This window comes from Homo sapiens, chromosome 17 (assembly GCF_000001405.40).
Source record: "Homo sapiens chromosome 17, GRCh38.p14 Primary Assembly".
In the NCBI taxonomy this organism is placed as follows: domain Eukaryota; kingdom Metazoa; phylum Chordata; class Mammalia; order Primates; family Hominidae; genus Homo; species Homo sapiens.
The window spans coordinates 1,896,155-1,922,575 of record NC_000017.11 but is presented as its reverse complement, the minus strand read 5'-3'; the positions used below and the strand labels follow the sequence as shown (position 1 = coordinate 1,922,575).

The 26,421-nt window shown below is 50.4% G+C and overlaps 1 protein-coding gene across 3 annotated transcripts in view, besides 5 other annotated features; it reads right to left on the bottom strand.

The window, feature by feature from the left end:
* Window positions 281-463: a silencer, noted in NCBI's record as "fragment chr17:1825407-1825589 (GRCh37/hg19 assembly coordinates)". NCBI's record gives its function as "represses an EF-1alpha promoter that drives an FKBP-Casp9 reporter gene in an ReSE screen in K562 erythroleukemia cells {active_cell/tissue: K562}" and the evidence as "EXISTENCE:reporter gene assay evidence [ECO:0000049][PMID:32094911]".
* Window positions 14,400-14,907: an enhancer, noted in NCBI's record as "H3K4me1 hESC enhancer chr17:1810963-1811470 (GRCh37/hg19 assembly coordinates)". NCBI's record gives its function as "activates a minimal SCP1, AML or CMV promoter by ChIP-STARR-seq in naive H9 embryonic stem cells {active_cell/tissue: H9 hESC(naive)}" and the evidence as "EXISTENCE:reporter gene assay evidence [ECO:0000049][PMID:30033119]".
* Window positions 14,908-15,416: an enhancer, noted in NCBI's record as "H3K4me1 hESC enhancer chr17:1810454-1810962 (GRCh37/hg19 assembly coordinates)". NCBI's record gives its function as "activates a minimal SCP1, AML or CMV promoter by ChIP-STARR-seq in naive H9 embryonic stem cells {active_cell/tissue: H9 hESC(naive)}" and the evidence as "EXISTENCE:reporter gene assay evidence [ECO:0000049][PMID:30033119]".
* Window positions 18,228-18,277: an enhancer, noted in NCBI's record as "active region_11460". NCBI's record gives its function as "activates an Ori minimal core promoter by ATAC-STARR-seq in GM12878 lymphoblastoid cells {active_cell/tissue: GM12878}" and the evidence as "EXISTENCE:reporter gene assay evidence [ECO:0000049][PMID:35858748]".
* Window positions 18,358-18,407: an enhancer, noted in NCBI's record as "active region_11459". NCBI's record gives its function as "activates an Ori minimal core promoter by ATAC-STARR-seq in GM12878 lymphoblastoid cells {active_cell/tissue: GM12878}" and the evidence as "EXISTENCE:reporter gene assay evidence [ECO:0000049][PMID:35858748]".
* Window positions 22,494-26,421, bottom strand: part of RPA1 (replication protein A1) — a 70,078-nt gene continuing 66,150 nt past the window's right edge. For all 3 annotated transcript variants that reach the window (NM_001355120.2, NM_002945.5, NM_001355121.2), the window contains one exon: window positions 22,494-25,505. In NM_001355120.2, coding sequence (NP_001342049.1) covers window positions 25,401-25,505 — 105 coding nt within the window. In that variant the 3' untranslated portion in view covers window positions 22,494-25,400. The remainder of the gene's footprint in view (window positions 25,506-26,421) is intronic.

Below are 26,421 nucleotides of genomic sequence, written 5' to 3'. Positions count from 1 at the left end.
CAGATGCAGGATTATTGGCCAGAGTCCCCCTAACAAGTTTGGGGAGATGAAGGAGGTGTTCACAAACCTCCTGGAATTCAATGCAGGGCCCCTGGAATGTGCAGGTTTCCAGAGAGAGCTTTCTTTCTCTTTCTGTTTTTTTTTTTTGAGAGGTAGTTTCACTCTGTCGCCCAGGCTGGTGTGCAGTGGCCGGATCTCGGCTCACTGCAAGCTCTGCCTCCTGGGTTCACACCATTCTCCTGACTCAGCCTCCCGAGTAGCTGGGACTACAGGCGCCCGCCACCACACCTGGCTAATTTTTTTGTATTTTTAGTAGAGACGGGGTTTCACCGTGTTAGCCAGGATGGTCTCATCTCCTGACCTCGTGATCCACCTGCCTCGGCCTCCCAAAGTGCTGGGATTACAGCTGTGAGCCACCGCGCCCGGCCAGAGAGAGCTTTCTTTTTCTTTTTCTTTTCTTTTTCTTTTTTTTTTGAGACACAGTCTTGCTCTGTTGCCCAGGCTGGAGTGCAGTGCCACGATCTCGGCTCACTGCAACCTCCACCTCCTGGGTCCAAGTGAGTCTCCTGCCTCAGCCTCCTGAGTAGCTGGGACTACAGGCGCCCACTACCACACCCAGCTAATTTTTTGTGTTTTTAGTAGAGACGGGGTTTCACCATGTTAGCCAGGATGGTCTCGATCTCCTGACCTCGTGATCCGCCCCTCGGCCTCCCAAAATGCTGAGATTACAGGCGTGAGCCACTGCGCCCAGCCAAAAGCAGATGGAGTCTCACTCTGTTGCCCAGGCTGGAGTACAATGGCACCATCTCGGCTCACTGCAGCCTCCACCTCCCGGGTTCAACTGATTCTCCTGCCTCAGCCTCCCAAGTAGCTGGGATTACAGGCGCCCATCACCACGCTTGGCTAATTTTTGTATTTTTAGTAGAGGCAGGCTTTCACCATGTTGGCCAGGCTGGTCTCAAACTCCTGACCTCAGGTGATCCACCCGCCTCGACCTCCTAAAGTGCTGGGATTACAGGCATGAGCCACCGCGCCTGGCCTTTTTTTTTTTCTTTTAATTAATAAATAAATTAATTTATATTTTTGGGACAGGGTCTTCCTCTGTTGCCCAGGCTGGTCTCAAACTCCTGGGCTCAAGCGAACCTCCTGCCTCAGCCTCCTGAGTAGCTGGGCCCACAGGTGCAGGCCAGCACGGCCTTTTCATCAGATCCTGAAAAAGGCTAAGAACTGGCCCGGACTCCTTCGTTTCACCCTCAGCGGCTCCTCCGCAACGCCGCCTCCCACCTGGCATGTAGGTGGCACTCCGCCTGGGGATGACGAGTCCTTGGCAGAACCGGCTTGTGGAACAGCCAAGGCTGCGGCGGAAATAGTCGCTCTTGACCAGTTTGTCCTTTTGACCAATTTGGTTTCGACCCAATCGTCTACTCCTCCACTCTGTCACACAAGGAAAACGGGGCGGGGGTGGTGGGGGAAAGGATGGAGCGGCTGGTTCCAGAAGACGCCAGCAACGGAATTTTAAACCCAGGCAATCTGCTTCCTTGTCATCCTAAAAGCTGTGGCAACTGGCAGGCTCCAAGCTCCCTGGGAACACTGGCTTCCAAATGCTAGTTTGGAGACAAGGGGAGCCTGTGATTGCGATTTTACCGATTTGCAACGAAACATTAATGTATTGAGTTTTTTGCTAAGCCAAATTTATTCCATCTAAAGATAATCCTTTATTCTGAAATCATGTCCTTATTTTTTTTTTTCCTTTGGTTTGGGGAGGGAGAAGGGTGTTCTAAAAAGATCTTTCTTTGGCCGGGCGCAGTGGCTCACGCCTGTAATCCCAGCACTTTGGGAGGCCAAGGTGGGTGGATCACCTGAGGTTGGGCGTTCGAGACCAGCCTGGCCAACATGGTGAAGCCCCGTCTCTACGAAAAATACAAAAAAAATTAGCCAGGCCTAGTGGCGGGTGCCTGTAATCCCAGCTACTCGGGAGGCTGAGGCAGAAGAATTGCTTGAACCCGGGAGGCAGAGCTTGCAGTGAGCCAAGATTGCACCATTGCACTCCAGCCTGGGTGACAGAGTGAGACTCTGTCTAAAAAATAAAAGTAAAAATGATCTTTCTTTTCTGAACCAACGGGACTGGTACATAGCAGCTTCTGTGTCTTGGGGTCTCTCATTGGCCAAACAAAATGCTGGCAACCCAAGGCAAGCCCTCCAAATTCTTTCTGCAACCCTACTGCTCTGTGCATGCAAAAACTCTGGGAAGGGTGGTTGTGGAGGAGTCTGGCAGTGCGGCCCTTGCCTTATGCTGTTCCCAGCCCCAACCCAACCCCACTTGGGCCAACGGCTCTGCTCACCTGTGCCAGCTCCGTGTGCATGGCCTCCTTCCTCCTTATCACCTGCCTTCCATTATTTGCAGATAATTATCTGCAATAACCAGCCAGTTACCCTTAAAGACAATTATATTCTCTCTCTTTTTTTTTGATACAGAGTCTCGCTCTATTGTCCAGGCTGGAGTGCAATGGCATGATCCTGGCTCACCACAACCTCTGCCTCCAGGTTCAAGAGATTCTCTACCTCAGCTTCCCGAGTAGCTGGGATTACAGGCTCCTGCCACTGCGCCCAGCTAATTTTGTATTTTCAGTACAGACAGGGTTTCACCATGCTGGCCAGGCTGGCCTTGAACTCCCAACCTCAGGTGATCCTCCCGCCTTGGCCTCCCAAAGTGCTGGGATTACAGGCGTGAGCCACCACGCCTGGCCAACAATTATATTCTTCTATCAGCAAACATTGATGTTCTTTTCTTACATCTTTTAATGAAGCTGACATTAGGGAGATGTTTCATTTTCATAAAGTCAAACGGCTGCCTTTTAAGAGGGTTTGGGTTCCATGTTAATGTTTCAAAGCCTTAACTAGGGGATGGGTGTTTGGTGGAAGTAGAAAAGGAATTAGGAGGACTTCTTCCCTGTTGGTCCAAGAGGAGCTGCTTTGAGAGGTCAGATGCCCAGGGGACCCGGTACAGCGTGCCAGCCCCCCTCCCCAAGCTAATGAGCTCTAAAAGTATCAATGCGATGAGCTCAGCCCTGCAAGTGAAATCATTCAGCAGTGCTGCTCTCATAGCTGTGCCTGCCTCTCACTGACCACGGCTTAAATCCTCCCTCCCTGCAGCCACCTCTGGGGACCTCCAGAGCTAATTGCTTCAGGGAGCTTCATTGAAATGAAGCACCCTCAGCTGCTCATAAAAGCTTTATCGTGGGCGAAGGCTGACCCAGACGGAACAGTAGCATCTATCTCCCAGGTCAGGGGGCCAAAGGCGCCGGCCGAGGCAGGATCTAGGCTTACAGAAATAACTCGGTTAGGTATTAAAAAGCCGGGGGCGGGGGAAGAGGCTGTAATTTTATCTCTTCCCGAGTGCCCCTCTCTTTACAATTTGGGCCTTACCTGGTGACTATGTGTACTTGAGTCACTCATTGTGGGCCAAACAACCTCAAGATGCAATTTCTTTCAAAGGTAGAAAAAAAATAAATAAACGAAAGTCTGCTCCTGCTGGGTTTATAAAGAGCTGTTTTCTTCCTGAGCTCTGTGGCATGGTGGCTGTAATCCGGAATTTCTTTTTAATCATAGCAGGAGTCCCAATTAGCGTGTTGGGTAATCTTTCAAGTAGAACTGGGAGCTCCGTGACCATAGAGAGCCGAGGAAATGTTACATGTGAAGAAGCTCTGGAGGGACAGGGCCGAGAAGGCAGTGCTGTCAGGCCGGTGCACACACGTATGTCAATCACGTATGTCAATCACGTATGTCAATCAACGTGCATTTGCAGGCTGGATCCCAGTCCCAAGAGCAGGCGTGTGCACCCTGGGTTTCTTGACCCCCAGTTCTATCATACCTGGACCAGAAGGAACGTATGGAGTGTACGTGGTGTTCCCCTTGGTGCAGAAACCCCAACGCTGCCCCGTCCGTGAGCCAGCATGCCAACATACAGGCCATGCACGCATACCTACCCCTTCCCGCTAAGAACACAGGGCAGGAACCAAGCTGCATGTGTGAGGCTGTGGCGCAGAGTTTGGGGCGCCCCCGGCTCTCCATGAGATGGGCCGCAGCCCCGGACTCAGCTGGCACCGGGGCCCAGCTCCGATCCGGTACGCCGGTGACCTACTTTCCTTTGTTGTTGTTTTTGGAAGTGCTGATGTCAATGCAGAATTCAGCAGAGAAGCTGAGTGAGAAAAAAAAAGAGAAGGGGGTAGAGAGAGAAGAAGGGAAAGAACCAAGGGCAGGGAGAGCGCCAGATAGGGATGGTGGTGGCAGGTTCTCTGCAACAGGGCTAACCTCCTACTGCCACTGTCCCTACAGGGCCCGCCTACTGCCACTGTCCCTACAGGGCCTGCCTACTGCCACTGTCCCTACAGGGCTAACCTCCTACTGCCACTGTCCCTACAGGGCTAACCGCCTACTGCCACTGTCCCTACAGGGCCTGCCTACTGCCACTGTCCCTACAGGGCCCGCCTACTGCCACTGTCCCTACAGGGCCTGCCTACTGCCACTGTCCCTACAGGGCTAACTGCCTACTGCCACTGTCCCTACAGGGCTGACTGCCTACTGCCACTGTCTCTACAGGGCCCGCCTACTGCCACTGTCCCTACAGGGCCTGCCTACTGCCACTGTCCCTACAGGGCTAACCTCCTACTGCCACTGTCCCTACAGGGCTGACTGCCTACTGCCACTGTCCCTACAGGGCCCGCCTACTGCCACTGTCCCTACAGGGCCCGCCTACTGCCACTGTCCCTACAGGGCCTGCCTACTGCCACTGTCCCTACAGGGCTAACCTCCTACTGCCACTGTCCCTACAGGGCTAACCGCCTACTGCCACTGTCCCTACAGGGCCTGCCCAGTGGGTCTGGGAGCAGCCTGGCCCCGTGGCTTTGGGCTGAGTAAACAGGGAAGAGGCTTCTTCCCCCTTTCGATGCACAAGGGGCAGAAGGTGCTGGCCAGGCAGGCATGCCCAGAGGTGCCTTCCCTCAGAGAAGGAGCCATGCGCCGTAGGGCACCTCCCTGCGCTCTCCCCAGGTGCCTGGAGGTGCCAGGTGCACCTCCATCTGTCACACCATTGGAAGATGCCGAGCCGCAGCCACCCTGACGGCTGGGACTCGGTGGAGGCTCCCTACACTCGCTGGGGCTGGAAGAAATTGGTCTTTGGGGATTCTGAAGGCAGCTTCCTCTATTCTCTTGCTCCTTGGTAACCCACATGACAGAGCTCCGCCGGCAACTTGCCTGCTCACACCTCCCGTTCGCAGGTGCCCCAGGAGAGCGGCAGGGTTTGGGGCGAGATGAGCCCAAGACTGCCCCAAATGCACGGCAGCACACTGCGGAGGACGTACTGCCCGCCCCTCCCTCACTGCCTGGCTTTCTCATGCTATAGTTGGGGTTGAACTCTGGCCCTGCGGTGACTCTGCCCTTTCCACCCATTCGCAGAGCCCAGCTGCTACTCCACGGTCCCTGCACCGGCTGCTGCACAGACCCGCGGCCGCAGCCTCAGGCTGAACCCTTCCTCCGGACACTTGGCCGACAGTTACTTCATGATCAAACCATTTCAGATCCACACTCTCCTGAAACTCAAGGCTATAAGCCTTGTGATTCCACCTGTATAACACAGCCCCCCAGCCCAGGTTTTTTTTTTTTTTTAATCCATGTACCAAAGGGACTCCGTTCCAGTGGGGCTGGGACCTGGAGTGTGTCAGCTTCTCCTCTTTCCCTCTTGGATGCTTCAGCCCCCAAACAAGCTTGGTAAAGGATTAAGGTCACTCTCTCCAGCTCCATAAGCTCATACATTTTTCAAGCAAAGAAATATACAGAGGAGACAAAGCCCTCATATGCTGGAATTACACCCCGAAAAATAGGTTACCTGACAATGACTTGTTTCTAAGTGGAGCAGACGTTTCTAGCGGCGGAAGCATTGGCTGGGTTGCCGGAGCCGCCACCTTTTCCTCCCAACTTACTGCCTCTTAACCTCGCCCAGTCCCCGGGTTTAGAGCCGGGATAATAATTCTCCCCACCTCCATCCTCCCTGAGCTGGTGGAAGGTGTAATGAATCAACATCTGAAGCACTCTGAAGAGGCCGAGTTCGGGGCGCTGAGTACACAGCATCACCAGCCACCTCTCAAATCTACATCGAGCTGATTTATTTACCTCCCAAGAAAGAGACAACAATCATCATATTTACACTTCACGCTCAGCTTTGTGCATTTCCCCACATCACCCCTCCCTCTGCCATTGCTAAGGACTCCATTACAGATGCTGCTTTTCCACGGAAGAGACGTCCCCTCTCCCAGCATCTCTCTCTTGTCCTGAGGGTCACAGCCTTCTTCCCCAAATCACAGTCTGTTGCCACAACAGTGGCAAAACGTGCCGCCCCACGGTACACAGGAGGCCACAGCCTCTCCCCAGGAGGCTGAGGAAATGGATTCCATAGCAAAAGAGGAAGTCAAATGCTGCCAATAATTAAGAAGCGAAGCAGAGGTGCATGAAAGGTAAATGGAAGTCATTTAAATGTTGCATCATTTAAAGAGTGCCCTAGCGCCCGGGTCCCTCATTACCACGCAGGGCCGCAGACTGGTAGCAATTAGGCTGGCACAGGTAGGACCACCCCACTGAGAAGTGGGGGGATCGCGGCACACCTGCCAGTGATTGCTGCTGGGGGCAGCATTTGACTTCCCTTCTTTCTGGTTTTTGACAGCCCCCTCATTTTCAGCAGCGTTCCATCCTTGGTGCTCTCACACAGTAAATAATACTGCAAGAAAAAAAGAAGAAGAAAGAAAGAATGAGATGAAAAGGTTTAAAAGGTTCTGCTAGGCCGGGCGCAGTGGCTCACACCTGTAATCCCAGCACTCTGGGAGGCCATGGCGGGTGGATCACAAGGTCAGGAGTTCGAGACCAGCCTGGCCAATATGGTGAAACCCCGTCTCTACTAAAAATACAAAACTAGCTGGGCATGGTGGTGCGCACAGGTAATCCCAGCTACTTGGGAGGCTGAGACAGAAGAATTGCTTGAACTCAGGAGGTGGAGATTGCAGTGAGCTGAGATTGTGCTGCTGCATTCAAGCCTGGGCAACAAAGCAAGACTCTGTCTCAAAAAAAAAAAAAAAAAAAAGGTTCTTCTTGGTTCCGAGAATTAGAAAGGCTGCTGCTCCTTGGACATCGAGCCTGGCTGGGAGAATCTCGATGGATGTTCTGGAGCGACAGGGTCCCATACAAGAGCATCTTAGGTACCACCTGCCAGGCAACAGGATAGATGGACCCTCGCTCCTCAGAGCAAAGGCCAGGGGCTGACTCCCCCACACCGACGGTAAAGGGGCTATCAGCAGAGGCCTCCTAAAAATGTCTCTATTTCCATACTAATCCTGGGTTGCACTGAGAAGAGACGCTTCTGTCTAAAAAGCAGGGCAGGCCCATCGAAGCTCAAAGAACCACACCCAGGGGTTCTGCTGTTCTCCTAGGAGAAAGCAGGGGGCTGGGGACGGAGGCAGCAGTGGATGGGATGGAACTGCCCAGCATGCCACCTGCACGGCCCGCCTCTAGACCCCCTGCAGGCTGATCTTCAGCTCCTGGAAGACAATGCCGGCTCCAAAGGGATGTCACTGCTGGGCCTTCCAGCTTCTCTCCCCAGTGCTCTCCAGATCAAAACCCCCAAACTCGTTAACTAGAAAGTTTGCTGAGGGAACAATACATGCTGAGGTGCAGGATGTGGTGCCAACTCTCTCATTAAAGTGGCCTTTCCCCACGAGAACTCACTGCTGATGACAATGGGTACTTGGCCGCTGCCATTTCAGAGTCAGAGGCTGACGGGAGGAGAGGAAACAGCTGGGTCCAGGTCAAAACAGATCAAATTTATGGCTGGTGGAATGTGGCTGAAAGCTATTTACTGCATGCTTGGTGCCACTATTTTCTTTCTTTCTTTTTTTTTTTTTTTGAGACGGAGTCTCGCTCTGTCCCCCAGGCTGCAGTGCAGTGCTGCGATCTCGGCTCACTGCAAGCTCCGCCTCCCGGGTTCACGCCATTCTCCTGCCTCAGCCTCCCGAGTAGCTGGGACTACAGGCGCCCACCACCACGCCTGGCTAATTTTTTGTATTTTTAGTAGAGATGGGGTTTCACAGTTTTAGCCAGGATGGTCTCGATCTCCTGACCTTGTGATCCGCCCGCCTCGGTCTCCCAAAGTGCTGGGATTACAGGCATGAGCCACTGCGCCCAGCCGGTGCCACTATTTTCAAAAGGTGATTTTTGAAAAGGTTGTTCTTCCAGTTGCTGATGTGCCTTTTGTGTGTGTCTGTGTGTGTGTGTGTGTGTGTGTGTGTGTGTGTGTGTGTGATGGGAGCCTGTGCCCAGGGCCCCGTGCTCCTCGGAGCTGGATCAGATGCCGATAAGTGATAAGAACCCCAGTCACTAAGGGTGCAGCCATACCTGACGCAGAAGAAGGCACTGGGGGGTGAAGGAAGGCGAGCTGGGCCGTGAGGATTCGAACCCGACAGCCCCGGAGTGAGGGATCCCAGTTACGAATGAATACAATGGAAACCTGAGTGAACCCACGGCTTCTCCACTGACCCAGCCGAAAGGACACAGGGTAATTCAAGATGACAGACACAATAGGCTGCCTGTGTTCCCGGGGCTGCCGAAACAGACGACCGCAAACTGGGTGGCTGGAAACAAGAGAAACTCATTCTCTCCAGCTCTGGAGGCCAGAAGTCTCAAATCAAGGTGTTGGCCAGTTCGTTCCTTCTGGAGGCTCTCGGGGAGAATCTGTTCCATGCCTTTCTTTTTTTCTTGTCTTTTTTTTTTTTTGAGATAGGGTCTCACTCTGTCACCCAGGCTAGTGTGCCGTGGCATAATCATGGCTCTGGAGGCTCTGCCTCCTGGGGCTCAAGCCATCCTCCCTCCCCAGCCTCCCTCCTGAGTAGCTGGGACTACAGGCATGTGACACCACGGCTACATTTTTTTTTTTTTTCAGAGCTGGGGTCTCGCCGTGTTGTCCAGGCTGTGTTCTGTGCCTTTCTCTTGGCCTCTGGTGGCTGCACACAGTCTTTGTTGTTCCTGGGTTTGTAGGAATACCCCTCCAGCCTCTCTGCCTGTCTTCACGTCCCCTTCTCTGAGCGTCCTGTCTCCTTCTTCTGTTGTCCTAGAAGGATGCTTGTCATTGGATTTAGGGCCCACCCTAGCCAGGATGACCTCGTCCTGCAGTCCTTAACATAAACACATCGACAAGGACCCTTTTTCCCATCAAGGTTTCATTCACTGTTTCCAGGTGGACGTATCTTGTGGGTAGCCACCGTTCAACCTACTGTGATAGCCACAGTGACCCAGAGAACTGCTCCCAGGACAAAGCCTTCTCTCTCAGCCCCCACTGGATCCTGTGCTGTGAATGGGAACTTCCCGGCCACCCCTTGGGTTACCATAATTTTGGTTTTTTGTTTGTTTGTTTTATTTTCTTGAGACAGAGTCTCGCTCTGTTGCCCAGGCTGGAGTGCAATGGTGTGATCTCGGCTCACCGTAACCTCCGCCTCCCGGGTTCAAGCAATTCTCCTGCGTCAGCCTCCCGAGTAGCTGGGATTACAGGCGCCCACCACCACGCCCACCTAATTTTTGTATTTTTAGTAGAGACGGGGTTTCGCCATGCTGGCCAGGCTGGTCTCGAACTCCTGACCTCAAGTGATCCGCCCGCCTCAGCCTCCCAACGTGCTGCGATTACAGGCGTGAGCCACTGTGCCTAGCCGAGTAACTGTAATTTTGGATCCATAACAAAGCCACAGGGGCATTGGACCTTTCCCAAAGACAGGCCACACCTGCCTAAACCATGTCCCTGTCTCAGAGGGTCACTCAGCCCTGAGTCCCTTCTCGTTGAGGCGGTTTCTAAAGTGGGAGACCACAGCAGAGCATCTTGCCCACAAGGCACCCTCAGGGAGGAACGGAGCCAAAAGGGAAGTCTGAGCCAAGCACGGGAACCAGGGATGCTCCTCCTCACGTGTCCTCACCGGAAGCTCGCAGTCGCCAGGGCCAAGCACAGGGCTCTGCTCCTACAGGGGGCTTTGCAGACGTTTACCAGCCTTTTTTTACCAGCTCATTCTCCTCTGAAGCAACCTATTATGTCGCAGGTTGCTTCTGATCATTAGAAAGCACTTTTTTTGGTTGAGTCAAAACCAACCTGCTTGCAATGCTGTTCACCCACTGTCCCAAAGTTGCCTTCAGGAGCTCTAAGAAATGACGGTCACCACCAGACTCCAGACGCTGCCTCATGCTAATCACCTGAAGGCATGAAAACATCCCCCCAGAGGTCCCAGGGCGCCAGCAGCTGGGCCAGACTGACCAAAGGAATTTCCATTTTTCCTTGAGCGTGGATAGCAACCATCACTGCATTTTAAAAAACATAGCCCACGTCTCCCAGAATTAGCTGCATAAAAGAAAAAAAAAAAGGTTAGCCCACGATACGCTAGGTGTTTTATGTATGATATTTCTAATTCTTACAACTGGCCTGGAAGGCACGCGTTAATATCATCCTTGCTTTACACACGAGGGAATAAATTCTGAGGTCAGGTAAATGGAAGATGGGGGATTTGAACCCAGATCTGCCTGACCACAGTCCTCACGTTGTCTTTCTCCCCACGCTGCCTCCCTCATGTGCAAAGGAACAGCCTATTTTCTACGCCTGGGGGCCGGAAAGTGGGGAAAGAATGAGTGTCCTCAAAGGAGGGTGAGGATAAAGCAGAAACTCCACTTTCATATCTAAACTAAGCAATCATGTTTTATTTCCATTTCCCTGAACATATAGTTCAGTTACAAGGTTTAAAAAAAAAATACAACGGGTTCTCGAGAAATGTCAAGTATTACATTTCAGCGGACGTGTACAGAACAATCAAAATGATGGACATCCCCAAACAGATGCAAACCTTCACCAAAGTCTCTTCCAGAGGCACATCACTGAGATTTGAAAAGAGCAGCTCATGGATCGGACCCGGTTGATTTTCCTCGTATGTGAGCTTCATACATCCAAACTCTGGTTCACCCAGAGGAGAAAATATAATAATTATGATTCCTTGCACATTTATGGACTGTTTTATGTTTTTTCTTTCTCACAAATTACTGCATTTGATCCTCACTTCCGCCCTGTGAGATGGGAGAGACAACTGTCCCCCTCGCTGCACATGTGAGGACATCAGGAGGTGCAGGAGTCCCTGGAGGAGGGCAGGAGGTAAGCAGGTGTCCTCTTTCCTCTGCTCTGCTCCTTGCAGGAGGCCCACTGTCCCCTTTCCTTTTTTTTTTTTTTTTTTTTTTTTGAGATAGATCTGGCTCTGTCACCCAGGCTGGAGTGCAGTGGTGTGATCTCGGCTCACCGCAACCTCCGCCTCCCGGGTTCAAGGGATTCTTGTGGCTTAGCCTCTCGAGCAGCTGGGATTACAGGCACGTGTCATCACACCCAGCTAATTTTTGTATTTTTAGCAGAGATGGGGTTTCACCATGTTGGCCAGGCTGGTCTCGAACTCCTGACCTCAGGTGATCCATCCTCCTTGGCCTCCCAAAGTGCTGAGATTACAGGCATGAGCCACCGTGCCCAGCCCCACTGTCCCCTTTCGAGCTTTAGAGTTCCCCAAAAAAAGTTGTGGCCATTGCGGGCATGGTGGCTCACGCCTGTAATCCCAGCACTTTGGGAGGCCAAGGTGGGTGGATCACCTGAGGTCCGAAGTTCGAGACCAGCCTGGCCAACATGGTGAAGCTGTCTCTACTAAAAATACAAAAATTAGCCGGGCGTGGTTGTGAGCACCTGTAATCCCAGCTGCTCCGGAGGTGGAGGCTGAGGCTGGAGAATTGCTTGAACCCGGGAGGCTGAGGTTGCAGTGAGCCGAGATCATGCCATTGCACTCCAGCCTGGGCAACAAGAGCGAAACTCCATCTAAAATAATAATAATAAAAAAAAAAGATGTGGCCATTGGAGATCCCACCAAAGAGTTGATGTAGAAAGAGAAGATGGAAAAGGGAGAGGAAGGACCATGGCAATTCCCAAGAGAGGAGCTATGGTATCCCTAAAGCCAGAGACCCGATTACAGCTTCTGTCAGGGACACTAGTCAGCAAGAGCAGCCATGCTCCCCCCAGAAGGAGGAACCAGAAGCCTTTTGAAATGGAATGTTCTTCCCGCTTGCGGGACCTTTTCCTTGGGACCCCGAGCCTGCCCTCAGCAATGACGGTGTTGGCCCAGAGAGATCTGAAAGCTGGCAGAAACTAGTCCTCTCTGGTGTGTCTGTGGCCAGAACACAGCATAGCTGCAGGTGCTTCTTGGAGGTCATATTGGCTAATGAATGAAGGTTAGCAGCTAAACACCGAAAGAAAGGGCACTGAACTTTACTCTGCTACTACTTTGCTTCTAAGTAAATACTTTGGGGATTGCCTCACTTGCTCATCAAATACCAGCAGTTCCACTGAATGACAAGCTGACGGCCCCCAATGGGCCTTCATAATACATGAGTAGACTCATTCTTCCTTGAGATGGTCAGGCTGGCCTTTGCCTCATGCAAAACTCCCAGGACATAGAAAAGCTTAACAGCCACACCTCAAAAAATTCTGTGGGCTTCATAATTCCCACCCAGAAGGGAACTGGCTCCTGCAACAATGGATCCCCAGAGCTTGGCCCCTTCCCCCATGGCCTGGGGGCACCTTCCTACAGAATACCTCCTGGAAACCTATATTTCTATTTTGGGGGACCACTCTGCTCCTGCACACGGAGAAAGGAAGAGTTGAGGTTTCCATGGTCATTTTTCGTTACAGTAATGAAAGTCTTGAAATGATCACAGAAGGAAAATTGGAAAATATGTCTCCTAAAAAGAGCTGAGGCAAATTATTATAGCAACCGAATCCTAAAAGGAATTTTCAAGTAAAAATATGGCTCATGTGAAGTTGTTATGGCAACTGACATTTAAAAGTAACTGGATTTGGGCAAGTTTCTTTCCCCACCCTCTCTGCAAAGTCTTGCAGTAACTTCATGCTAAAATTATGCCTTAATTTTAATTAGCCAAATAGGTCATAAATATAGCATATTCCCAAATCCTTACAATTTCTACCCTGTGAGCAGCTGATCTACTAATGAGAAACTGTTTCTACAAAAACCCACTTACCATTAACACGCCTATGCAATATTTTTCTAATATAATTTATCAATTTAAACACATTGCATAATGTGATATTCTGTAGCATTCTATTAACATGATAAATAGCAGTGGGCGGGGGGGAAGCCCAAGAGATTAAACATATTGCAAGCAATGTAACTGCATTTAAATAACTCAGACCACTGCCGAGGAAAACACACTGTTCCCATCGTCAAATACAGTCTAAACTCGGCTGCATATCCCAGACTGTACGGGTATTAATAGGACGGGAGAAGGGGGGCAATAAGAAATGACAGGCAACTTCAAAGAAATAAAATTTCTATTAGGCTTTGTTATAAGATTACATCAAAGCAGTTCATATGTTTTAATCTGGGGAGAGAAGAAGCAGCTACTTGGGGTTTGCGCCTGGGGGCTGCCTCTGTGTACTGAACCAGACAGTTTGCATAATGAACAATTTTCATTCAACCAGGATTTCAGCACAGATAGCTCCCTCTGCAAGGTCCCAGGCACAGGCTCATAGTTTTTATTCTCCCAGCTCCACCTGCTGGAGAAACAGCTTGTAACCGGGAGGAAGGGGACACAGGGCAGCGTTTCTAAGCCACGATGCTAAATTCGGGTGTCTGAAGTTAGGGATCTGACTTTAGACACCCCGACCCGCCGCGCCCCGCCGACAGGGCCTCTGTGAGACACCCCAGGGCGCAGCCTGGATCCGCCCCTGCAGCCGGCAGGGAAGGCGCGGGCGGGGGGTGGGGGTCCAGGCCTGACACCTTCGCCCCTCCCAGCGCCTCCGGAATTAGGGAATTTGGAAATCGTCGTTTGCATTCTGAGTCGAACCCCAGGGAGAATGGAGTTGCTGCAAGGCAGGTCGCCTCGAGAGACTGGCGGACAAGGTGGCTGGCTTCAAACACCAAACGCGGTTCCCACCTGGCCAGTCACCTTTCAAGTTTCCCAGCCACCCGGGTCTCCAGGAAATCAAACGGGGGAGAAAAACTGCCCGCGTGGAATTGCATTTTCATGCACAATGGGAAACCTAAACGCTGAGCAGATCGTCTTGAAAACCTGGCACAGCCGACGCAGGCTTGGAGGACGGGAAGTCCCGGGCGAGCGGCTGCTCCAGGACTCGGGGCTGCGGCCTAATCCGCGCTGATCCCCGGGCTTAGCGCGCGCCCCTCCCCGGCTGAGGTCGCGGGACCCGCAGGCCCCACCTGGCTGTGTCCCCTTGGGGAGGCCGCCCGGGAGGGGAGGTGACATCAAGCCGCGTGCAACTGTTTTCGAAAACCTGGGATGATCATTTAAATGTTTAAAATATGCACATGGTAATTCAAAACTAATTACCCTGAGCACATTTGAAACATTTATGCCATCGTCTCTGGATCCTGCCTACTGATTGTGCGCGGCGGCTCACTCTGCTGTTTCTATAAACTGCTTCAGCGATTTTAACTTCCAGGCTAAATCCGGCAGCGCAGGCTCTGCCTCCCGCCCCTGGTTGGTGGAGAGACCCCTTTCCTGACTTCCAGGAGAGGAGGCTGCACCCCGTTTCCCTGGAGAGCCATTTGTCACGGTCTCGCAGCTCTGGCTACGGAATCCCTGCCCTCGTTGTGTTCATAATGGTCATTTCCATTATTTAATTTAGGTTAAAATGACCTCTCTCCCCACCTATTCCTTTTCTTGTTGTTTTCTCCCCATTTCCCCTTCCTCTGTCTTGGCACGTGGCCCCCATCTCCTAATGACACCCCACCCGGCCCCTTCTCCATTTGGGGGTGCGCATGGAAGGCTTTTGGGGGTTGGGGGTGCACATGGAAGGCTTTTGGGGGTTGTAAGGTGGCCACATCTACCAGCCACCCTGAGAAGCAGGACTGAACTGGGCCAACCTGGGCGAACAGCGGCCACTGCCGGGCACGTTATAGTGGCTGCCAGGGCACACACGTGCACATGCCACACACACGTGTGCACACACACCATCCACGTGCACGCATGCCTCAGACACGGAGCCAGGCCTGCTTACGGACTGGACTAATTAGACCTAGGCAGGTCCTGAAGCAAATTCACTTTCCCAATTTCCAGAATAAAATGAGTTCTCTTCCTTTGGGGGCACTAAACCAGCATGCCGGGCTCAGGGACGGAGAATGGTGATGTGTGGCTGAAACGACCTGACTTCCCAAGTCTATCCGGAGAGACTGACCGAGGGCTGGGATTGGAAGAGGCGCCATTCCGGAGTCCAGAAATTAACATAGGCTTATAAATATGTTCCAGGACACAGACGAGCGATGACTGGTTCCTTATTATGCGAAGATGCCAGTGGCAGGTTTTAGGCGTTTAGGAATACAAAAGTGGGTTAGATTCCCACGGCCGGCTCCAGTGTGATAGAGTGATATTACCAGGTTTAACTAGAGCCATTAAGAGACTCTTCATTATCCCCACACCACCGCCACCAAAGTTATCACAGAAACCATAATGCAAGAGAGAATTTCCATTCCATCAACAAGAGAGGGAGCCAGTCTATCTTTGTCCAGAGAAAATGAGCATCCCAGCACGAAGCTCGTGAGGAATAGAGTGCACAACCCTCCAATAACATGCCCGGCAGGATTTCCTCAGCTATGCAGTTGGCTAAGCGGAGGCAGGCTGCTCCGGCTCTATCTTCTCGTGTACCTGGCCTGCAAGAATGCCAGCTCTATGAGCAGCTGAAAGATCAATTAGTGACAAAGGACACTCCTAGGACTTACATTCCACAGGGCTTAAGTCTTAAGCTCCAAGGAAATGAAGATCCAGGCCGCCCTCCCAGTGTGCAGCAATCTCATTTATTTTTCTACAAAGACTCACCACTCAAACCAAGCTAATTTTCTTGGTATCACCTGCACCTGGTTTACTGGCTCCTGAGCAACGTGCCAGTCCTTCAGTTTGAAATGGACTTTTCTTCCAGCCGATCCTTTTTTTTTTTTTTTTTTTTTGAGACGGAGTTTCGCTCTTGTTGCCCAGGCTGGAGTGCAATGGCGCGATCTCGGCTCACTGCAACCTCCGTCTCCTGGGTTCAAGCGATTCTCCTGCCTCAGCCTCCCGAGTAGCTGGGATTACAGGCATGCACCACCACCCCGGCTAATTTTGTATTTTTAGCAGAGACGGGGTTTCTCCATGTTGGTCAGGCTGGTCTTGTACTCCCGACCTCAGGTGATCCACCCACCTCGGCCTCCCAAAGTGCTGGGATTACAGGCGTGAGCTACTGCGCCCGGCCAGCCAATCCCTTTTTTGCAACTTCACGATGACAACTCATAGGTTTTTTGTCTGCCTCCACCAGACTGTCCGCTCTCCTTCACTGGACTCCCTTCACACACCACGTACTCAGCATCCTCTGTGTCACTCTGGTTTTGCTTATAGAAAGTGCTCTTCCATTTTGTGAGGCTCCCCCCCCGCCATGGACGGATAATGAGAAGGGACCAGGTCTTCTATTTCCTTCACATTTCTTGTGTCACCTCAAGTATCTTCTCACGGGACAGACACCATGTCAGATATACGGAGGACCCAGTTTTATAGCTGAGCCCCACGAGACGACCCAGCACACCCCCATACACACAGCAAAAATTGCCCCCCTCATTCAGATGTTCCTGGCATCCTGTAACTTGCCCAAAGCTAGATTTATTGCTCCTGCTGTAAAGTGTATCTGCTCTAAGCCTCACTTAAAAGCTATCACTTGGCAGAAGATCAAGTTAAAAGTGCAGGCTAGCAGGTGATGGTGAGGGTAGGAGAGGGTGGGGAGGGCGGGGTGGAGCCAAGAATGGAAGCGCTGAGAACTACCAGCCCAATATTTAACCTAACTGGTAATTTGCTGTGACAATTATGCCACAAACGGAACACTACCACTATGCAAGGATGTCGCTCTCTAATTAAGAGGGCTCTGCTTTTCCTAGTCACCGGCACTTTAATAACACACACACAAAATGAGGCTTGGCTGCGGGAGCTCAAGGTTCTATTAGGAGGCACGTGCAGCATGCGGCGGTGGCCTGCACATCGGTCTGAGCGTTGCTGCCCGGTGAACCTGCTAACACCTTCAATTCTCCAGCAGACGGAGATGGAAGGGAACCGAGCAGTCAGACGCTCTCACGAGAGAGCCGCTTTGACTGACAGGCGTTTTCCCGGAGAGCCTGCGCGTGCCCCCACTGCAAATCGACACTCAGGCAGCGCCTCTTTCCAACCAGGAAGGCTTGGTGTGGGTTTGATCCTTACAGAGTAACTTTAACAAGGATTTCCAAAAAAATAAAAGTCCACGGAAACAAATTTTCCTCTTCAAGATGGAGAGCAAGACAGAACAGGGACACACGCACACCCAGACACCCAAATTGCCAGTTAGAGACCCTGGTATGAGACAAAAGAATATTATTACCATCACGGCTGTAAAGGATGTTGCCGTCTTCTAAACTGACTGCTGGACTCCTGAAACGTGGCTAAGCAAGACAAACTGTTTTTTGCTTAATTAGTGGCTCCTTTGTGAAAGGTTTGCTGCCTGGAAAGAGCCCATTAGAGGAGGAGAGCTCATTTGCAGGGATGCACCTTATACAGCTATTCAGATTTTGAATAAATCGTGGAGCAGGAAATTGGTGGTGGTGGTGACGGTGGGAGTCGCCGTGTTATGGAAGCAGAAAAGCTTCTGCAAGAGACAGGCTTTGCATTACAAGCCTAAGTGCTGAGGAGATCAGCTTTCCCAGGCAAACATATAAGCCTCTAAAATTTTAGGCCAATGGAAATGACCTCTGTACCATGGCTGACTGAAGATATAAATAAACTTCAACATGAACAGCAGTGTCAACGGTGAGAGGAGATGAGAGTCCAACTGGGGCTTATTTTTAAAAAGTCCTGCCTGTTCTAACTCCATTTCAGGGCTGGGCATTGAAGAGCACAAAGCTGCAGTTCCCCGCGGCAAGCCCTCCTCTTTAACAGGCACCAGCCCCCTAGGTTACCTGGCCGTTGAAAGGAAGCTGCAACACACATAAGTTAAATATAGGTTTGGTTATTTGCATTTTACAAGCACCGAGAATGTTATCTGAGGAAGCTGTCATTTTTAATGACAGCACAAACTTCCAATTACCAACTGGGTAATGCACTAGGGAACGGGCATAATTTTATAAGAACGGCTCGCAATTATTAAAAGTTTACACGATCACTTCTGAGTTGGCTATATAAATATTTCTCACGAGGCAGGTGGGATTCAGTTTTTCACAGGGTCTATTCAAGGCTGAAAAAAAGATTTGTTTTATTGAAAAGTATACATTTTGAGACTCATCAACAGCTAAGGAGAGGGTGTAAAGCGACAGCTACTAAGAGCCTGAGAAGCTGCAAATGCAGCCAGGTGGCTGGTTCAAAGCCTCTCACAAACACCCACGAGCTCACTGGCAAGTCAGACACTGTCACGACAAACCCAATGCAGGTTAGGGGTATGGCAATGGATAACACAAGAACCTCTTACTGGCCGGGCACAGTGTCTCACGCCCGTAATCCCAGCACTTTGGGAGGCCGAGGAGGCCGGATCACCTGAGGTCGGGAGTTCGAGATTAGCCTGGCCAACATGGTGAAACCCTGTCTCTACTAGAAATACAGAAATTATCCAGATGTGGTGACACACGCCTGTATAATCCCAGCTACTCGGGAGGCTGAGGCAGAAGAATCGCTTGAACCTGGGAGGTGGAGGTTGCAGTGAGCCGAGATCGTGCCATTGCACTCCAGCCTGGGCAACAGAGAGAGACTCCATCTCAAAAAAATAAAAAATTAAAAAAAAAAAAAAGAAACTTTCACTCAGCCCATAGTCAAACACTGTCCTATTTGCACCAGGAACCCATTTCCGTTCAGTACCTCTACCCAGCCTCCGTGGCACCGCGTGGCTTCGTGTCAGTGACGAACACAGCGCATGCCACTGTTACCAGTGTTGCTCTCGGTCTGCCTCATACAGACCGGACAGCCCCGACCTAAATGAAGGCTCTAATCAGTGAGTCTCAAATCACCCAATTCTTTGTGAAGTCTTTCCTGATTGACTCCAGTCTTCCAGCAATTTCCCCCTCAACTGCATTTTAATATCACTGTGATATGACTACTTAGCCCCCAAGCCTTGCTCTAAATAGTCCATAGCTCTCAGGGACAGATATCTTTAAGTCACACACTGGCTGGGCGCGGTGGCTCACGCCTGTAATCCCAGCACCTTGGGAGACCAAGGTGGGCGGATCACCTGAGGTCGAGAGTTTGAGACCAGCCTGACCAACATGGTCTCTACTAAAAATAGAAAATTAGCTGGGCGCGGTGGCATATACCTGTAAATCCCAGCTACTCGGGAGCCTGAGGCAGGAGAATTGCTTGAACCTGGGAGGCAGAGTTTGCAGTGAGCCAAGATCACGCCATTGCACTCCAGCCTGGGCAACAAGAGCGAAACTCCATCTCAAAAAAAAAAAAAAAAAAAAAAAAAGTCACATACTAAGGCTGGGCGTGGTGGCTCACGCCTGTAATCCCAGCACTTTGGGAGGCAGAGGCGGGCAGATCACGAGATCAGGAGATTGAGACCATCCTGGCTAACACGGTGAAACCCCGTCTCTACTAAAAATACAAAAAATAAGCTGGGCATGGTGGCGGGCGCCTGTAGTCCCAGCTATTTGGGAGGCTGAGGCAGGAGGATTGCTTGAACTTGGGAGGCAGAGGTTGCAGTGAGCCGAGATTGTGCCACTGCACTCTAGCCTGGGTAAGAGTGAAACTCCGTCTAAAAAACAAACAAACAAACAAACAAAAAGACCCCAAAAAATCAGCTGGGCGTGCAGTAGTCCCAGCTACTCAAGAGGCTGAGGCAGGAGAATCACTTAAACCCAGGAGGTGGTGGTTGCAGTGAGCCGAGATCGCACCACTGCACTCCAGCCTGGGCGACAGAGACTCCATCTCAAAAAATAAAGTCACATACTGACAGGCTGGAACCATGAAGACGAGTGGCTACATACTTTTCTCAATGACTTTTCAAAACCATCATTACAAATATAATTACAAGACTTAATAATCATTAATAGCTTTAGATAATCAGGTTGATTTATAGGCAAGTCAAATGTATTCTCAAGAGGCCTTCTTTGCCAGGGTGGTGGGAAACAAGAGTTTCGCCTCTTCATAGGCACAGCCCCCGTCTGTGTAGTAGGCAGGATGAAACCAGGGCTCCAAAGCCTTCTTTTTCCCTCCCCTCCCTACATTAATCTACCTGCTTCCAAGGAAGGACCTGCTCAAATTACCTACCAGCCCTTGGTGGTACACAGGGTTAGAGGAGTTATCCCTGGACTTAGGCAAAGAAAAATCAATGAGAGAACCTAACAGAACAAGAAAAGGCATGGATTGTCAGTGCCACAAAGCATAAACGCTTCTGCTCGTGAAATCTTGAATTTATAACAATTAGAAAAAGTATAAGCATCCTGCAAGAGTGAATTGGCTGAAAACACATCCAAAGAGCCAAACACCACTTAAAATTATTTATCTAAAGCTATTAATGATTAGTAAATCTTTTAATTATGTTTGTGATTTTTTTGTTTTGAGATGGAGTCTCCCTCAGTCGCTCAGGCTGGAGTGCCATGGTGTGATCTTGGCTCACTGCAGCCTCTGCCTCACGGGGAGGGACTCTCTTGCTTCAGCCTCCCGGGCAGCTGGGATTACAGGGGTGAGCCACCACACCCGGCTAATTTTTGTGTTTTTAGTAGAGATGTGGTTTCACCATGTTGGCCAGGCTGCTCTTGAACTCCTGATCACAAGTGATCCACCTGCCTTGGCCTCCCAAAGTGTGGGATTATAGGTGTGAGCCACTGCACCTGGCCTAATGGTGGTTCTGATGCAATTTTTATCAAAATAAAGATGCCCATCCTAGGAGAAAATCATTACAAAATGATATGCTTACTATGCTACCATTTTTAATTTAAACTCTATACACATAGATACATAGAAAAAACTAGCCAGGGCCAGGCACGGTGGCTCACACCTGTAATCCCAGCACTTTGGGAGGCCGAGGAGGGCGGATCACGAGGTCAGGAGATCGAGACCATCCTGGCTAACATGGTGAAACCCCATCTGTACTAAAAATACAAAAAATTAGCTGGGTACGGTGGCACATGCCTGTAGTCCCAACTACCAGGCTGTAGTCCAGCTACATGCCTGTAGTCCCAGCTACTTGGGAGGCCAAGGCAGGGGAATTGCTTGAACCCGGGAGGTGGAGGTTGCAGTGAGCTGAGATCGTGTCACCGCACTCCAGCCTGGCGACAGAGCAAGACTCTGTCTCAAAAAAAAAAAAAAAGAAGAAAAAAGTAGCCAGCTACACAAGTGTTTATTACTGGTTGGTGAAATCCTAAGTAATTTTATTTTTCTTTTGCCTTTTTGAGATGGAGTCTCGCTCAGTCGCCCAGGCTAGAGTGCAGTGGTGCGATCTCAGCTCACTGCAGCCTCTGCCTTCCAGGTTCAAGTGATTCTCCTGCCTCAGCTGCCCGAGTAGCTGGGATTACAGGAGCCCACCACCACACCTGGCTAATTTTTGTATTTTTAGTAGAGGTGGGGTTTCACTATGTTGGCCAGGCTAGTCTCAAACTCCTAACCTCAGGTGATCCACCTGCCTTGGCCTCCCAAAGTGCTGGGATTACAAGGGAGAGCCACCGCACCCACCCTTTCTCCCCCTTTTTTTGAGATAGGGTCTCGCTCTGTCGCCCAGGCTGGGGTGCAGTGGTGCAATCATGGCTCACTGCAGCCTTGACCTCCCACGGCTCAGGTGATTCTCCCACCTCAGCCTCCCAGGTAGCTGGGACTACAGGTGTGTGCCACCACGCCCAGCTAATTTTTATTTTTTTGTAGGGACGGGGGTCTCCTTATGTTACCCAGGCTGGTCTCGAACTCCTTGGCTCAAGCGATTTGCCCGCCTCAGCCTCCCAAAGTGTTGGGATTATAGGCATGAGCCACTGTGCCAGGCCAATTTTGTTTTTCTTAACTGTAGATTATTTTCCTAAAATAAACATGGAGGCCGGGCGCGGTGGCTCACACCTGTAATCCCAGCACTTTGGGAGGCCGAGGCAGGTGGATCACAAGGTCAGGAGTTCGAGACCATCCTGGCTAACACGGTGAAACCCCGTCTCTACTAAAAATACAGAAAATTAGCCAGGCATGGTGGCACATGCCTGTAGTCCCAGCTACTCAGGAGGCTGAGGCAGAATCGCTTGAACCTGGGAGGCGGAGGTTGCAGTGAGCTGAGATCGTGCCACTGCACTCCAGCCTGGGTGACAGAGCAAGACTCCGTCTCAAAATAAATAAACAAACAAACAAACAAATATGATTACTTGCATAAGAAAGTCAATAGTCCAAATTATCCTTTTTTTTCTTAAACATTTACTTAATGTCTTAATAACAAAAATACCAGTTTTTTTGAATAAGTGAAAATTAAACATCTATGCTCTCTTTTTGAGGAACCGATGACTTCCAAAGGTGTTTATAAAAGCCAGAACTCTACCAGCGGAGTGGATATAAGACTAAGAGTTAACAAACCACATAAAAGGTGGCCGGGGAGTGGGGGGAATCTTCCCTTTGAGACAAGGAAACAATCAGTTTACTAGGGGAATAGTGGCCTTCTAACAGGTGAAAAGAAGAAAAGGAGACCAAACAACCTGTTTCATCCTCTATAAATAAAACCTTGGGCGGCATATTGCCAAAGAAACATGAGTCAATATAAACCTTTACATACTGGGCGGCCAAACTTCACTTTTGGACAGTATATTAATTATGTAGTCAATAACCATGGGTTTCATTAGTGTATTAAATACCACGATCAATAGTATTTATACTTTTTGAAGACAGCCCACTCAGGAAACAGAAGTGGGGGAGGGGAACATTTTTGACCCTGCAGTTCAAAAAAGGAACAGCACGCGAGAGATTAGCAAGGTTTTAATGGAAAGCATAAAACACTGGAAATATGGACAGAAATCAGATTATTACCCTTTTATTTTTTTCCCTGCCCCTTTCACAATGAGACTGGAGGGAATTCAAGAACCACTTGAAATAAAGGCGAAATGATTAGATTTTTTTCTCCTAATTGCCTAACGCTGATGTCATGGTGTACGCAAAATCAACATTGATCTCTAAGTGAAAGAGGAGAAACAGAACAACATCAACAGCCTTTCGAGGTAAACTGTGGGCCAGAATCTATTTAGGCAACCCGCAGGGACCAAAATCTCTGAAAAGCCCAACAGTGGAGCCAGTTTCTGATGCTCCTCTGCTGGTGATCTGATCTTTGAGTGGGGAAATCTGTTAGAAACAGCCTCCTCGAGGGAGCCCTCCCCCTGGCACTGCCCCTGGGTTCCCAATCACATCCACGGAGACGTGCTGGTTTCATCACGCTGGCCACTGAGAAGGCGCGAGGACAGGTGTCAGCGTTCCCTGGACACGTCCTGTCCTGGTACCACGGCTGGTCAGGCCTCTTCACTGTGTGGACAGACACGTGGGGAGAGGAGGGAATGCTGGGAGTAGTAGGCATGAAAGACTGGTTACTGGGCTGAAAGCTAGATCGCCACTTCCCAGCCACAATTTGTCAATCCAGAAGAGGGTTGAAGACTGTAATTTTCTCGTCGATGCTTTATAAGCAAGGTCAGACAGAAAAGAACTTCCGTAAAAATGGCTGAGGCCTCAGTCAGAGACTGAAATGCGACCCAGTTACCATCTCCTGAGACTAGAGAAGGGTAGGAAGGAATGTGTCTAAACAATTAGTGAGGCTGAGCAGGAGTCCCTCTGTGTCTGTCCTCAGGAACGGAAGTCATCCCGTCTAGGGCTGGCTGGCCCCTATGTCAACGGCAGACACCGAGGGGGGAGACAGACAGGACACCATCACTCCCCATATCCAAAAGCCTCCGCAGGCGGCATGTGCAGTGATGAACAGCAGGTCCTCTGGCTGCAGAGTGACCGCCGCACTGCCGGGGTACGACGGCGAGATGTGCGGCCAATGGCAGGCGGTGTGTTGCAGCCACCGGATAGATAATTAATATGATTAGGAACACACAGAGCGAGCATGCTTTTGCTGACTGAAAGGCCCACTAGCATAATTACTGTTTTCTTACCAGCTCACTGTCTGTACACATTTCAAAGCGTGGTTGGTGTTAGACTGCTGCGTAAACATCAATAAAATCCCAAGTGCCAGATCATCAGCATCCTCAGGCAAAATGGCTTTTTGTTTTTAGTGTTTTCATGCTTTGAAAGATGCATTTCAGGGCTGCAAACACTAGGAAGAAGGATCTCCATGCCTTGGACTAATCTTCGGGTTTATAATGAGTTAACATCCCCCCCAAGTGAACATTTATTATGAAGGCTAATTAATTGCTTTCCAGTTATAGGAACTCTTTGCATTCAAAGAAAGTAGGATTCACAACCAAAGAATATACTGTTTATTAAAACAAAGCAAGGGAAACAAAAGGCTTCAAAATCCTTTCCATGTAACATAGCTTTAGTCAAAAAAAACAAAATACATGAATGCAGGAATGTGTACAGGTAGAAAAAGTACGCACTCACCAAGCGAAGCGCAGCATTAATTGAAGTGAGAAGTAAAGAAACGCTTTGTAGCCGCTCGGATTTCCTTAGGGGACGGCAAGTCAATGCTTATCAGCGGTCCTCAGAAGAGACAATTTTGATTAATATCAGACCCATCTGACTCAGTCTATTAAACCCTGAAGGAAGGATACTCTTCAGATATAGAAGATATGCCTTTGATTAATCATTCTACCCTATTGCCATTCCAAGCATTACCAACTATGTAGCACCTCTAGAAAGAGAGAGCCTTCGAATTCTAGGAAGACACACTTACTAAAATCCCCAGGTGCTCATGACCGCTTCTCAGCTCGCCCCGCTGAGAAGAACCCAAGTTGTGAGCGGGGATGGGGGGGGGTGGTCACCACTGGAGAAGCAAAAACCTAGTTACATAATTTACTTCATGGTCTGCAGTTAGGGTCAGTGACTTACGACATAATTCCTGCTTGATGATAATGAAATTGACAGAAGCCTGAAGGCAGAGGGAGTGACTGGTCTTGCGCTAGCCACTGGCTGACTCCGTAGGCCTGACACAGTCTACACCACAACCACCTGAGCGTATTTTCCTTTGCCTACCGATGGGTTCTGAGATGCGCACGAGGGGGGAAATTGCTTAGTCCACCATCAAGAGCCTCTGCACTGTGTAGCTAACATGGGATCGTCACACGGAGGTGGGAGGAAATCGATTCCATTCTGCCTATTTGCAAACTTCTGCCCGATTGGCACTGCTCCTCTCACATCAATGCACTTCTCCTGATGCTCATGACCAGCCTTCGGCCATACTCTCTGTAGTCCACGGGCTTCACGTCCATCACAGTGGCCTTAATTCGAGACTCGTCCTTCAAAAAGGGAGAAGTAGTTTGTGAGCAGTGAAAGTGTGGTGTGGAGCAGTGAAACCCCTTTTGCTTCAGTGGTTTCAGTGAGCCCAGCGGGAGGGAACAGACGCACGGGTTCAGAGTTCAGTCATTCCAGTGAGTGACAGCCTCCTCCTGAATGTCTGGGGCTGGGCGAGTGAACAGGTCCTTTCTCCAGCACAGGCCCTTCTGATTCTTTACCCAAGCTCCCAAACACCCAGAAGCCTAGAATCCTAGTGAGATGGACTTTAGAGGGTTTCTCTAGTTTCATTTATTCTCCCTACTGCAGGGGATACAGCCCAGAGAGGACATGTGACTTGCACAAAGCCACACAGCTAGTTCTGAAAGCTAAACTTTCAAACTTTCATTTCAAGAAAAGCTGAGTGGTGAAAGGAAGAGCACCTGCAGCAGAGGGAGAGGACCGAGTCTGTCCTGTCTCAGCTCTGGGGAGGCAGCCTCTCTTCACTTCACCTTCCCTGTCCAGACACGATGGGGCTGAATGGCCCCAAAAATCCCCCCCAGCCCCACCCCACTCCCTGACATTGTTTCACGGTGACATCTGATCCCCTATCTCATTTAATGTTTATAGTAGTCGCAGAAGAACGGGCGTTAAGGTAAATACGTGAGTAAACCCTGCAATCAGCAGGGGCGTTTCTACCACTCCCCCTGCCCACTCGTACGTTTACACTCACGGCCTGAATGGTGCCTTTCCGGGCAGAACGGAGTGATACCCAGGAAGGCTGCACAGGCGAGCTCGGGGCTGTCACACTGCTGTGTGCTTGGTCGGTACTAAATCCCGTGATACTCGTAAGCATGATCAAAAGCAAAGCTCTGAAGTCAGGCTGCCTGGGTTGGACGTTAGCTCGACCACTTGCTAGCATACAACTTAGGCAAGTGACTT